Source organism: Homo sapiens, chromosome X (genome assembly GCF_000001405.40).
Source record: "Homo sapiens chromosome X, GRCh38.p14 Primary Assembly".
NCBI lineage: Eukaryota > Metazoa > Chordata > Mammalia > Primates > Hominidae > Homo > Homo sapiens.
This window is the reverse complement of record NC_000023.11, coordinates 118,662,344-118,677,906: the sequence shown is the minus strand read 5'-3', so window position 1 is coordinate 118,677,906 and position 15,563 is coordinate 118,662,344. Positions and strand designations below refer to the sequence as shown.

General features: G+C 36.6%; 1 protein-coding gene across 6 annotated transcripts in view; it reads right to left on the bottom strand.

The window, feature by feature from the left end:
- The window catches only part of DOCK11 (dedicator of cytokinesis 11), a 190,333-nt gene that overhangs the window by 8,241 nt on the left and 166,529 nt on the right, over positions 1-15,563 (bottom strand). For all 6 annotated transcript variants that reach the window (XM_005262368.5, NM_144658.4, XM_011531276.4 and 3 more), the window contains 4 exons: positions 15,115-15,221; positions 6,762-6,884; positions 1,858-1,971; positions 1,170-1,316 (listed from right to left, as the gene is read on the bottom strand). In XM_005262368.5, the coding sequence (XP_005262425.1) occupies positions 1,170-1,316; positions 1,858-1,971; positions 6,762-6,884; positions 15,115-15,221 (491 nt within the window). The remainder of the gene's footprint in view (positions 1-1,169; positions 1,317-1,857; positions 1,972-6,761; positions 6,885-15,114; positions 15,222-15,563) is intronic.

Sequence of the window (15,563 nt, the reverse complement as noted above, 5' to 3'; positions counted from 1 at the left end):
GACTTTTCATTACCTTTCCATTTATACAGTAATCAATATTGTGGGAACAAGTCTTACACTATCTGGCTGCAAGGGGAGAAAATCTTCTGTTGTCTCAATTCAACGAAACAACACAAAATAGTGAAACTGATAAGGAAAGAAGTAGAGAGTGTTTGCCATATATTACGTTGAAACTACCACCAAATCTATTTTTAAATGTCTTAGGCATGTGTTTAAGATAAAGTCATCTCCAAGAGATATATGTAAGTATACAAAGTGAAGAGATTATTTTCGTGGTAGACAATGAAGTGTCTTTACAATAGCCATGGGCTTTTTCACTCTGGTAATGCTTCCTGCTAGCTTTTAAGTGTTCTGCATAGCACTGCGCATATCATAGTCACTCAGTAAATATCACTGTGGATACAAATCTTGAACTTTATATGAGCTTCCTACCCTTAAAAATCAGCTCTAAGTCTGGGCACACCCAAGGCAACTAAGGACAGTCAGGCATTCCTACAGTGCTTCCCCCAAATCCTGTCTATAGGGAACTATGCATTTCCTAGGAAAGGGCCTCTCTTGCTATAATATAAGCCTTCTCACTATGCCTTGGCAGGGCCTAGTGGGATGGATAACCTTTAGAGCAAGGCTCAAGGATCTCTCCTAAACCTATTTCATTGCAAATGTTAACTACAGTCACTATTACTGAACTAAGGATATCTTAGAATAAAATGTGTGCCCCAAGGTGATTTTAATCATGATGTAACGGAGAATCATGATGTACAATAGCATTTACAATAATATCTAACCTTTAGTGAGCATGCTAGCTTGCTATTATTAGTGAATGCTTTTTATGTACCAGGAAAGTGATTATACTTTCCATATATTAACTCATTTAATCCATACAACAACCTCATGAGGAAAATACTACTATTATTATCTCCATTTTATTACTAAGAACGATGAAGCACAGAGAGTTAAGTACCTTCCCCATGGTCACACAGCTAGTGAGTGGCAGAGAGTAGAGATTTGAAGCTTGGTATCTCTGACTCCAAAGCCCCTGTTCTTTCTTTTATTATCTGGAAAGCTCTGTTTTCATGCTTCTCTACCAGTTAAAAAAGGAAAAAGTCAGGAGCAATGTACAATGCCTGGAACTAACAAATAATGATTTCAACATGTAGGGTATGTGTTACCTTGTCTGAATCCTGAATTATTTTGACATTCTCCGTACCAAACTTTTCACCATAAAGTTTAACAAGTCTCAAGGAAATTTCTGAGAGGCCAGTGAGCTTTGGTTCTTTATAGATGTACTCCTTTCCATCTTCTTCTTCAAAAAAAGACTATTATAAAGTTAAACAAATAATAACTTATAAATAATATGAGCAAACACAACATTTAAAGAAAATCTACTAAATAACTAGTAATAATATATTTGAAATAAATTTTGAATAATATTACTAAAAGTCCCATGCTTGTATTTACCCTTTTAATTTCAAATACATGAGAATTTTTAAATTCCTGGTAATTTTCAAATTTATAATCACATAAACATATGGCCTGAGGAAGATTTCCAAACTAGGTTTTTTCCTTCCCTGTACACTTACCTGTTTTTTATTTAAAAGTTTTAACTACTATATATTTAATATGTACTTTAAAAAGCTTAACAGAAAATGAAACTGACAGAAATCAAAACCTTTTCTGTTGTATTCTGACCTGAAGGGTTTAGATATGAGAACCAAAGTGAACTTTATACATACAAAAGAGGCTCCCTGCTGTTGTAATAGGCACTCTATCTGGATAGACTCCTAGCTGCTATAGTAAACTAGTAATTCAAAGGTGAATGTTTAAAAAGGAAAACTTTATGGATTCAAGTACACTTACTTGGCCATAAAAGGCAACTCTGAAGAAAGTGCCTAAAAGTCTCTTTTTTGTATGCATAACTTCCAGAATTTTTGTGTAAGCTCCATGAAGAGTTCTATAAACTTGAGTAAGTTTCTGAAAAATAAAAATATACAAATCAGCTTTGTTTTTTGTTTAATTACTAAATGTCTTCAAGATGAATGTACAAAAATAAAAAGCACCAGTATATTCTTTTCAAAATGGTCTTGGTGGGGCCATTCATACTCATCTCCCTTTGTAACAATCAAAGTCCTCAACAACTTTAGGTCTAAGGGTAGAACTTAAAATGGTAAAATAACACTGTATTTCTTTTTAAAAGAAATTTCTTCTAAAAAAAAAAGGGGGGATACATGTGCAGAATATGCAGGTTTGTTACATAGATAGATGTGTGTCATCGTGGTTTGCTGCACCTATTGGCCCATCCTCTAAGTTCCCTCCCCTCACCCCCCACCCCACAACAAGCCCTGTGTGAGTTGTTCCCCTCTCTGTGTCCATGGGTTCTCATTGTTCAGCTCCCACTTGAGTGAGAACACGCGGTATGTGGTTTTCTGTTCCTCAATGACAATGTATTTCTTAATATCATGCTTCATTTCATTCACATCTCAATGGAAATTTTAAATTTTGAAATACTGTATTATCAACTACTATTTTCTACAGGATCGGAATATTTTTAACTGAAAGGGCAGCCAAATGCTTTGCTTGAGCCCTCAGGTAGAGAGCTATGAGAATAAACAATCCATGTATTTAAAAAGGAAAATAAAATGCAAATATAAAAATAAGCAATGGTGTAAGCTGCAGTGAGGACTGCTTTTATGCAAGTTCACAGATATTTCCAAAGGATATGTTTTTCCGCACTTCCAGAAAAAGAGAGCACGTTGTGCAAAGAACATTATCAAAAATGTGAAAGACGAGCTACAGAATGGAAGAAAATATATGCAAATCACAGATCTGATAAGGGTTTAGTACCCAGAATATTTAAGGACTTCTTACCACTCAACAACAAAATATATGCAAACCAATTTTAAAAATGGGCAAATGACCTGAATAGACATTGCTCCAAAGATGTACAAGCAGCCAAGAAGGACACGAAAAGACACTCAATCTCACTGTCATTAAGGAAATGCAAACCAAGACAATGAGGTGCCACTTCACATGCACTAGGATGGATTTTATAAAACAAAATAAAACAAACAGAAAATAAAAAATGTTGGTAAGGATATGAAGTAATAGGAATCCTAGAACACTGATGATCGAAATGTAAAACGGTACAGCCACTGTGGAAAACAGCTTCGTGGGTCCTCAAAAAGTTAAACATAGAATTACCAAATGATCCAGCAATTCTACTCCCTAGTATATATTCAAGAGAATTGAAAATATATATCCACACAGAAACTTGCACATGAATGTTTACAACAGCACTATTCATAATAGACAAAAGGTGAAACAACCCAAATGTCCATCAATGGATGAATGGATAAACAATCTGCAGTATATCCATACAATGGAATCTTACTCAGCCATAAAAAAGAATGAAGTTCTGATATATGCTACAACTGATACATGAACCTCTAAATATTATGTTAACAGGCCAGGTGCGGTGGCTCACGCCTGTAATCCCAGCACTTTGGAAGGCTGAGACAGGTGGATCACTTGAGGTCAGGAGTTTGAGACCAGCCTGGACAACATGGTGAAACCCCATCTCTATTAAAAATACAAAAATTAGCCGGGAGTGGTGGTGTGCACCTCCCAGCTACTTGGGAGGCTGAGGTGTGAGGATTGCTTGAACCCAGGAGGCGGAGGTTGCGGTGAGCTGAGATCATGCCATTGTACTCCAACCTCGATGACAGAGTGAGATTCTGTCTCAATTAAAAAAAAATTATGCTAACTGAAAGAAGCCAGACATAAAAGGTCACATATAATATCACAGGCTGAGTATCCCTTATCTGAAATGCTTTGGACCAGAAGTGTTTGAGATTTTGAAATATTTGCATTGGACTTACCAATTGAACATGTCTAATCTGAAAATCTGATATCCAAAATGTTCCAATGAGCATTTCCACTGAGCACCATGACCATGCTCAAACAGTTTCAGATTTGGGAGCATTTATGATTTCGAATTTTCAGATTAGAGAGGCTCAATCTGTATTCCTTTTATATGACATATCCAGAATAAGCAAATCCAGAAAGCAGGTTAGTGGTTATTGGAAAATGGGAGTGGGGTGGGGAGTAATTACTTAATGGGTATGGAGTGTTTTTCTGGGGAGATGAAAAAGTTTTAAAACTAGAAAGAGGTGGTGGGTGCATATTGAGAATGATAGGATAATAGGATTTCTATACTTTAAAATGGTTAATTGTATGTTATATAAATTTCACCTCAACAAAAAAGGAAAAACACACAAGCTTCTTTCTCTAAAATTCCTCCCATATTATCTTTTATAATTGAGCTCAATTGGAGGGAAATCTTCCTTACTTTGGCTGCTATCTCTGATAGTTTTCAGCCCGTTCCATAGAGATACACTGAAAAAGTATGCATCAGTGTTCTACTTTTTGGTTTTGTTTTGAGATTGGATCTTGTTCTGTAGCCAAGGCTGGAGTGCAGTGTCTCAATCATAGCTCACTGAAGCCTCAATCTCCTGGACTTAAGCAATCCTCCTACCTCAGTCTCCCAAGTGGCCGGAATCACAGGCGTGTATACCATGCTCCAGCTACATCAGTCTTAAACACAATTACTTCATCTATACAGAGTTCTAGGGGATTTATACAGACCCTTACACCCCTCCAAGGAAATAGGAGTAGTTCCCCTGTAGAAAACATCATTTCCTTTAATGTATAAAGAAGATATATTTTTCTTTCTTCCCTGTTGGTTGGCTAAGTAGCAAAAGGCTCCCTGGGTTTCTAACAGCCAGAACTTCCTTCATCCTAAGAGTCAAAAAATGGGGACTTTATTTTGAAATTACTACAAAGGTTCTTCAGATGTAATGCTTTGATAGGAGGGGTAATGGCAAATCTGGTTTTGTCTCATAGGCTATTCTTTGCCATCTGTATGACCTATACTTCAGCTTATTAATATATTCACTTGAATTCTACTATGAGTTTTCAGGCATGCCCCATATACACCAAAAGTATGGCAGAGAGAGGAAGACCTAGAATCTGGGAAGAAAAAGTGAATTTGATCAGAGCTAGTTTGGAGGAGAGATGAAAACACTACTCAGATTATATTAAATCTATGTGTGTTCACTCTCAGAAACCACGTCAACAAGGAAAGGCCTAACTGCTTTATTTAAGAATACATGGCCAGGCCGGGCACGGTGGCTCACGCCTGTAATCCCAGCACTTTGGGAGGCCAAGGCGGGCGCATCACAAGGTCAGGAGATCGAGACCATCTTGGCTAACACGGTGAAACCCTGCCTCTACTAAAAATACAAAAAAATATTAGTCGGGCGCGGTGGCGGGCGCCTGTAATCCCAGCTACTCAGGAGGCTGAAGCAGGAGAATGGCGTGAACCCGGGAGGTGGAGCTTGCAGTGAGCCGAGATAGCGCCACTGCAGTCCGGCCTGGGCCAAAGAGCAAGACTCCGTCTCAAAAAAACTAAATAAATAAAATAAAAAACAAAAAAAAAGAATAAATTGCCTTGCTTTTTTAAAATGGCTTGAATCCTAAATCATCCCTTCCCAGCATAGTAGCAACAGAAATTATGATATGGACTAAGAGACTTGAATATTTAAAAAATCCTGTTTAGTGCTGGTGGCAATTGCTGTGCATTATACTACTATTCTTTATTAACTAAACTTTATCAATAGTTTATCTGGCAAGTCAAAATTTTAAAATTCTCATAATAGGGGTATTACTAGTGTATTATTACCTACCCCACTGTCATTTGCCAGCACCTTTAGGTTCTCCGCTAAATTATAAAGAATAGAATCATGTCTATGCCTCTTCCCTGGGTAACATGGAAATTTGACAGCTTTTTGAAGTGAAGGTTTAGTGAAAACAACACTGATTATTTTACGCTCTGAGAGGAAGAGGGGAGGTTGCTAGATAAAAATATTTTCAGGCCGGTCACAGTGGCTCACGCCTATAATCCCAACACTTTGAGAAGCTAAGGCCGGAGGATCACTTGAGGTCAAGAGTTCGAGACAAGCCTGGTCAACATGGTGAAACCCCGTCTCTACTAATAATACAAAGATAGCGGGGCGTGGTGGTGCATGCCTGTAATCCCAGCTACTGGGAAGGCTGAGGCAGGAGAACTGCTTGAACTCGGGAGACAGAGGTTGCAGTGAGCCAAGATTGCGCCACTGCACTCCAGCCTGGGCAACAGAGCGAGACTCCATCTCAAAAAAAAATTTTTTTTTTCAGAACCACTGGTCTAATTTAAATCTCAATTTCTATTTTGGATCTTTTACCCTTAATTTCATTTGGAAAACATAAATGAATATAAGGTAGGATGTTTTAAGTTTTACTTTATTTTCATAAGCAGGACCAGAGGAAGTTTTATGTTGTCTTTAATTGACACATAATAACTGTACATATTTATGGGGTACAATTTATGGGGGAAATGTTGTTTCCATACATGCCAACATTGTGTAATGATCAAAACAGGGTAATTAGTAAATGTATCATCTCAAACATTTATCATTCCTTTGTGGTGAAATCATTAAAAAATCTCAGGATTTAATAGCATTTTTAGGAATTGTCACTTTGAAATTGGACAAATGTGTCAAAATGATAGACTATACTCTATGATAAAATGCAAAAGTCATAATGTAATGAACCTTATATTCTTCAGAGGACACAAGTCGAATAATAGTGACAGAACTATATTACTGTTTTCCCTAAAACCAAAATAAAATACATAAGTCAATGATAAAAATGTTCAAATTGCCTACCTCAAACTCACGACGTTTCTCATAAATTGGAACGATCAACTTGGAAATCTCAGAAATTATTTCATAACGTTCTGCCTTCCATAAGCCATCCACACATTGTTCTAGCAACTCCAGCAAGACCTCCTGCATTAAGAGAAAAATCCAATTAGGAATTAAAAATAGTTTTAGAGTTTTGGACAAATAAATTTTGAAGCATTTCAAGTTGGTAGAAAACAAACAGATGGTACTAAATTCAATGAGATGCACAAAAGGAACATACTTGTGTGACGATATTTTCTAAATCAAATATTTAAAATATTTAAAGTTAAAAACATTCTTAAAAATATAAAATTGATGTTAACAATAGTAAACTATGATTATTTTGTTTATTCACATAATGAAGATGTTAACTATAGTTGTAAACGTTAACACATCGAGAAAGAATATTTTTAAAAAGGGAATATATTGTTTGTTCCAAATTGAGGATGTCTGAATGTCTAACATCTATTATTTTTTATATTAAAACAATATTTACCCATATTAGTCTTAAGAAAATTTGACAACTTTTTCAAGCTATTGTGTTGGTGGTTTAGGTGTTTATTACAATGATTCGATGTTTTTTTAAATTTTTTTAGTTTTTATTTTTGTGGGTTGGTATTAAAATGACTCAGTTTTGATAAAGAACACTTCCCGACTGATGGTTCTAAAATTACTGAGAATGATAGGATAACAGCTCAAAATAGAGATCACCAGCGCTGCCAGAATAACAGTTGCTATAAAACTCTTTTGTGAACCTTCATCTCATGTTCTCAACGATGAAAACATGAAGCCAATTACTGATGCTACCCGTAAGTCATAACAGCTTGTTTCTATCTTAAAGAGATGCACTTCAAACCTGTAGAACTGATTCCTAAAACAGCTCTTCCTGTATGTCCTTTAGAAAATCGAATTCATCTTCTAGCTCTTATACCTGTGTTTCCTATCTCACCAGTGGCAATATCCTATAGACCCTTAGGTAGTAAACTAAGCACAGTTTTGACTTTATTGTCTGTTATGGGTTGAATTGTGTCTCCTAAAAAGATAAGTTGAAGTTGTAACCCCAAGTACCTCAGAATGTGACCTTATTTGAAAATAAAGTCATTGCAGATATGATCATTTATGATGAAGCAATACTGGAGTAGGGTGGGCCCCAATCCAATATGACTGGTATCTTTATATGAAGACAGAGACACACAGGGAAAACACCATGAGACTACAGAGGCAGAGACTGGAGTGATGCAGCCACAAGTCAGGGGAAGTCAAGGAACAACTCTTACCACCAGAAGACAAAGAAGGCTTCTACCCAGAGTCTTAGAGGGAGCATGGCCCTGAAAACAATTTGACTGCATATTTCTAGACTCTAGAACTGTGAGACAATAAATTTCTCTTGTTCTAAGCCACCCAATTTGTGGTACTTTGATATTGCAGTCTTAGTGCTACAGCCTGAATGTTTCTGTGTACTCAGAATGCGTATGTTAAAATCCTAACCCCCAAGGGGATGGTATTAGGAGGTGGAGACTTTGGGAGATGACTAAGTCATGAGGGCAGAGCCCTCATGAATGGGATTAGTACCCTAATAAAAAGAGAGTTAGCTCACCCCCTTCCATCACGTAAGGGCACAGTGAGAAGATACCATCTATGAACTAGGAAGTCGATCCTCACCAGACACCAAGTCGGCTAACACCTTTATCTTCACCTACTCAGCTTCCAGTATAGTGAAAAATACATTTCTGTTGTTTATAACCTACCCAGTCTCTGGTATTTTGTTATAGAAGCCCAAATAGGCTCAGATATCTACGCAACTATTACACCCTCTTTCTTTACTCATTCTCTAATGAGTTCATCACCAAGTCCTGCCAGTTTTATTTCCTAAATATTTCTCAAATCTGACCCTTTCTCTCCATTTCTCTCATTGCTAAGGTGCAAAATTTCACTATTGTTTTTTCTTAATTTATCTTCCTGCCTCCAGTCTTAGCCCTTTCAAATACATCTTCCACACATCTGCCATAGGGTTCTGATTAAAATGCAAACCTGAGCGTGCCACTCTCCCTTTCTTAAAATCTGGCAATGGCTCCGCATCACTCACAGAACAACGGACACGCTCCTTCATGTGGCACATAAAGCTTGCAATGATGTGGCTGATACTTCCATAATCTCATCATTCATCATACCAAACTTTGTACTTTATGTTATAACAACAGCGAACTACTAGCAGTTTCCCTGAAGCACAATGGTGTGTCTTAGCTTTATGTCTTTGTTCAGGCTGTGCCCCTCCTCCCTTTAATCCCTTCTACTTGGTTAATCTCTTTAAAACACTTTAGGTATCACCTTTTCCAGGATCCTTCTCCTTATCAATATAGGGTAGGCAAGACACTACACATCTTTTTTTCTATTTCACTACTTTTTTGGCAAAGATTTATCACTATATTTGTACATTATTTACGTATTATCTACATATCTGACTTTTCCAATAGGCTGTGATTCTTTGAGAGTAGGGACAATATTTTACTTACATTGGCTTTTCCAGTAATTATTTTAGTGTCACTGGATAGTATATGTGAAATAAATGTTGCTACTTGAATAAAACATCTGTATATTAACATCTGCTAGCCAAATTAAAATTTCCAGCAATTTTGGGACAAACATTGGGGGAATTAAAAATAAGGTGCACACTTAGTATGAATTATCCCAGGAATGTAAAGTTAGGTTACAATTAGAAAAAAAAAACAATGTAATATACAACCTCATAAACTGAATAAAAAAGAAAAATTATATCTCTTTCAATAGATGCAAGAAAAAAGCATTTACAACACTCAACACCCATTCATGATATTTAAAAAGAACTCAAGAAACAAAGAATAGAAGAGATCTTCCTCAATCTGATAAGGGGCATTTACTAAAAACCTTAAAGGCTAGACATGTTTCTCCTAAGATTGAGAACAAGTTAGAATGTCTGCTCTCACCACTTCTATCCAACATTATGCTGAAGGTTCTAGCCAGTACAATAAGGCAAGAGAAAGAGAAAAAGCATACAGGATTAGAAAAAGTAAAATTGTTCCGTGCATATGGCATAATTGTATATGTAGAAAATCATAAAAGACATACAAACTATGAAAACTAATAAGCAGATTTAGTAAGGTTGCAGGACGTAAGATCAACATACAAAATCAATTATATTTCTATATACTAGCAACAACATAATAAAAAATAAAAATATAAAAGCAAACAATATTATTTACAATAGCATCAAAACATCACATATCTACCAGTAAATCTAACCCAAGACTTCTACCCTAACAACTACAAAATATTATTGGCAGTTAAAGATAACCCAGATAAATGTCCATTGATTGAGAAATTCAATATTGTTAAACTCTCCATTCTCAGGCTATTTTGAGGAAGTAGAAAAGATGATTCTAAAGATTATATGGAAATTCAAAGGACGTAGAATAGCCAAAACAACTTTGAAAAAGAATAAAGCTGGAGGGCTAACACTACTTGATTTCAAGACTTAAGTTATAGTAATCAAGTGTGATATTGGCATCAAGATGGGCAAATAGATCAGTGGAAGAGAACCGAGAATCCAGAAATAGCCCACACAAATATGAAAAACCGAACTTTTGACCAAGGTGCCAAAGTAAATTCAACGTGACAAAAGGAAAGTCTTGTTTTTCCCCAAATGGTACGTCTTAAAAAAAAAAAAAACTGTCTTAAAAAAAGAGCTTTGACCTCTATTTCATTCCACAAATGAACTTTAAATATATTATAGACCTAAACAAAACTCGGAAACAAGTTTCTAGGAGAAAACACAGGACAACACTATCAGGATCTTGAGGTAGGCACAGATTTTTGGGACCAGATACAAAAAGAACAAATTATTATAAAATAATAAACTGGATTTCATCAATTACAACCAAAACCAAAATTTTCTGCTCAACCACAGACTCAATTAAGAAAGTGAATGGTCAAGTCAGAAGCTGGTAAAGAAATATACAGCACATATATCTTGACAAAGGATTTATATCCAGGAAAGAACTCCCACAAAACAACAATAAAAAGTAAGCAATGTGATTTCTAAAACGGATAAAAGACAAACATTTCACAAAAGAAAATACAAAAGAGGCCAAGGAACACCTGAAAAAGTGGTAGACATCATCGGTTATTAGGGAAATACAAATAAAAGCCACAATGAGATGTTGATTCACACCTAATATTAATAGAATGGCTAAAATTTAAAAAGATCAGCAATATCAGATGCTAGGGAGGATGTGGGGCAACTAGAACTCTCATCTACTACTGGCAAACAGTATAAAACGGTCCAACCACTTTGAGAAACTCTTCGGAAATTTCTTAAAAGTTAAACATATATCTTCCCTAGGATTCAGCAATGCTACTCCTAGGTATTTACCCAAGAGAAAAAAAGCATATGTCAACAATAAGTCATAGATAGGAATGTTTAAAGTAGACTTATTCGTAACAGCCTGAAACTGGAAACAATTCAAAATCCATCAACTGAATGGATTTAAAATTTGTATATAAAGACAAAGAACAAACTTTTGATATACCCAACAATATGGATGAATCTCAAAAACATTAGGTTAAACAAGAGAAGCCAGATTAAAAAAAGGTACATATTGAATGATTGATTCCATTTTTATGCCATAAAAACTAATTCATGGTGATAGAAATCAGATGGTGGAGGTGGGGAGCCTGACTGGAAATGGGCACAAGGGAACCTTTCCCGAAGGAATGGGCATGTTCTATTTTTTGTTTCTGATGGTAGGTTACATGGGTGTATACAACTGTCAAAATTCATCAAATTGTTTAAGATTTTATTACATATTAATTATATCATTTTTATTTTTATTTTTGAGACACAGTCTCGTTCTGTTGCCCAGGCTGCAGTGCAGTGGCACGATCTTGGCTCACTGCAACCTCTGCCCCTGGGGTTCAAGAGATTCTTGTGCCTCAGCCTCCTGAATAGCTGGGATTACAGGCCTGTGCCACCACGCTCGGCTAATTTTTATATTTTTAGTGGAGACGGGGTTTCACCATGGGGACAGGCTGGTCTTGAACTCCTGGCCTCAAGTGATCTGCCTGCCTTGGCCTCCCAAACTGCTGGAATTACAGGTGTGAGCCACCACGCCCAGCCCAATTATATATTAATTATATGTTTAAAATCGATTGCAGGGGCACACGTCATCAGGACCTCCTGAGGTGGTGTCATGCAGAAAAAAAAAACTGTTGCAAATCAAGTCAGAAATACATTTTTGGAAACAAGTTACATTGCGTTATTACCGGTTTAACTCACATATTTAAATACAAGCACTAAATGGACAACTGTTTGTATTTTTCATTTCAATGTAACTTCTAAATCAGTGTCAGTTTTTTTAATTGGCTAGGGTTTAAGGAAGAAGCCTTATTATGCAAACTGAAAAATAAAGTGGCACTTGGTAAAACATGATTCTACCTGTATATATCAAATAGAAGTATGTATAAATTACTTGTAGAACCCAAAAGATTTCCAACAAATGTGTTTATACAGAAAACTAATTACAGTTTTTGATTATTAAGAAAAGTTATTGCTCTCCTTAAGAGTATAAAAAAGGGTCAAGCTCAAAGCCATTTCTATGAATACACTGAAGCTGCTGTTTAGAAGGCAAGGATATAAGTTCAGTTGTACTGAACCAGTTAAGCCCCATGAAATCCTCTGAATCTTCCTGCTGTCAGCCTGTAAAACCTGCAGGTCTCTGGGAAATCATCTAACTAATATCCAGAAACATGAATTAACTTGTCCAAGGCTATACAGTCAAAAATTAAGCTGGAATAAAAATTCAAGTATCTTGCATCTCTGTTATGATCAATCAATTCAACAAACATATTTTAAGTATCTATCCTTGTAGGTTCTGAGGGTAAAAGGACACCAACTTGCTTTTAAGAAATCTCACTGCCAAGTAGGTCAATGATAAAACCTGACATTATTCTCACACTTCATGACTTTTTAAGTTTTCGCATGTATTGTGAAGTGACCACGATAGTATTATTGTCCTTATTTTACTGATAGGGAGACAGACTATGTAGAAATAGTAGGTAAAGCTTCTAGGTGTATCATTAATTTAACTAAATAAGCCAGAGCTAAGTTGAGATTTGTGTATTTTAAAAAATCAATTCATAAAGTGTTTATGAAGTGTGTCACTGTAATTTTCATCTCATTGTTTAATACAATTTTTTTAAGAAATGTAATTTTATGGGACTGTAACTTCAATCTCTTTTCTGTGTTTCTTTCTTGTTTTCTACGTTCACACTCTTTGTGAACTTTTCCCCCATGGTTCAGTCCTTGATTCTCCGGTCTTCACTTGCCGTTATTATGTCTAACATTCAGTCTGCTTTGGTCCTCATAAGGATATGACTTCCAGATGTGTATTTCTAACCCTAATCTCTCTCCTTAGATTCAGTTTCATATTTCTTTTTTTTTTCTTTTTTGAGACACAGTCTCACTTTGTCACCCAGGCTGGAGTACAGTAGCACAATCTTGGGTCACTGCAACCTCCACCTCCCAAATTCAAGTGGTTCTCCTGCCTCAGCCTCCTGAGCAGCTGGGATTATAGGCAGGTGCCACCACGTCTGGCTAATTTTTGTATTTTTAGTAGAGCCATGTTGGCCAGGCTGGTCTCGAACTCCTGACCTCAGGTGATCCACCTGCCTCAGCCTCCCAAAGTACTGGGATTACAGTCGTGAGACACTGCGCCCAGCCTCAGTTCCACATTTCTAATGGCTTGATGGTTATTTCCATTTTGATAAGCTTTCACATCAAAATCAACTCACCTATAAAATGAAATTCATCACTTTTCCTGCAAAACCATCCATCTATCATTTTCCCTTAACCTCCAAACCTGAAATCTTAGAGCTACCTTTGACCCTTCCCCTCCCACAGCCAGCAAATCAGCATCTTTTCCTCACACTATTTCCTGAATCTTTCACTACCCTGGTTTAAGCCTTAACTACTCGTATCTGGATAATTAGGGCAGCCTTCTCTCTAGCCCCTGCCTCTAGCTCCTATCCCTGTATCTTCAATACATCTCCCACATCATCACCAAATTAGCCTTCCCTCTTCCTTGCTTTCATGTAGTCATCATCCTGCTCAAAAATCTTTGAGGCCAGGTGCGGTGGCTCATGCCTGTAATCCCAGCCCTTTGGGAGGTCAAGGCAGGTGGATCATGAGGTCAAGAGATCGAGACCATCCTGGCCAACATGGTGAAACCCTGTCTCTACTAAAAATACAAAAATTAGCTGGGCATAGTGGTGCACGCCTGTAGTCCCTGGTACTCGGTAGGCTGAGGCAGGAGAATCACTTGAACCCGGGAGGCAGAGGTTGCAGTGAACCAAGATTGCGCCACTGCACTCCAGCCTGGCGACATAGCGAGACTCCATAAAAAAAAAAAAAAAAAAAAAAGACTTTGATGCCAATTTAATATTCTACTGAATAAAGCCCAAACATTGAAAGTTTCTCAAAATCTGGCCTCAACTAATACTCTTCTCTATGGGAACCTACTGCTATAGCCAAAAGGATCCACTTCCACTCACTGTGCCTCAAACATGTCTTACACTTTCCTACCTCTTAGTCGTGGTCCCTGCCCTTCTCCTGTCTCTTAGGATGCCTTCAGGGTGTCCTCATTCTTCCAATCCCTCTCTGATCATACTTCCTTTATTTTACCTGAGCTCTAAGGCATCTTTCACCTTTGACTTTGCATGGCACATATTGTCTGCATTATTCAAATATTATTCAAAAGTCTTTTTTCCATTTCATGTACATGTATTATCTCTTCAGGTGGACCTTGGAGGTCAGGGACTAATCATATTTAATTATTTAAAGCTCCTAGGTCACCAAGTCCAAGGCCTTGCTGTTAAGTCAATGTTCAATAAATCTTTGGTGGTTGACTGACAGCCAAAGCTGTTTTCTATCCATGTGGTGTTTAGAGCAGAAATTTTCCATTTAAAAATACTTTTGTGCATAGTCTGTCTTAGTTGAAGTAAAGAGCAATGTTAACTCTATTTTTTATGGAAAAATTTCCAACATGTGTTGACTCTTATCTAGTTATTGGAATGGTGACTTGAGGACGGCAAATGCTGTATTTCTAAAACTAGACAATGGGACCAGTTCAAGAGACAGGGCCCTCTAAACAGGAACATCTTTGCCCTGGACAGTTTTAATACTTAAAGTTCATTAACCCTTAGTTACCTTCAAAATTAGGTTAGCTGTAATAATTGTTTAATATATATGAATTTTAAGAAGTGAAATTTATATAACTGGCAATGCAGGCCCTGGAATCCTTACTTCACTATAATGGACATCCATCATCCCAGCATCTTCTTTCATTGCTCCTTCTTCATCTATATTGGGAGTAATTTTCTTGAACGCTGAACATCCGTTAGGAAATAATTCTGTGTGAATAAAAAAAACAGTGGAGTGAATTTATGAGAAAGCATTTAGTAAATAACAGTGAGCCTTACAGAGATGGGCTATTTAAAATAAACACATTATTTTTGTAAGAATCAAAGTCTTAAGTACAATTTTCACTTACAAAAATTTTTAAATTTGTTTCCATTTGCTACATATTTTATTAGTTTCTCCCCCTACAAAGTGAGCTTAAGTTAGTTATGAATAACTTTTATTCTTTGACTATGTATCATCTTCAATGGCTAGGATAGATGTTTACCTAGTGCAATCTAAACATTTTTATTTAAACTTTGATCCTGTATACATTTGTGTTCTATCATCTAAAC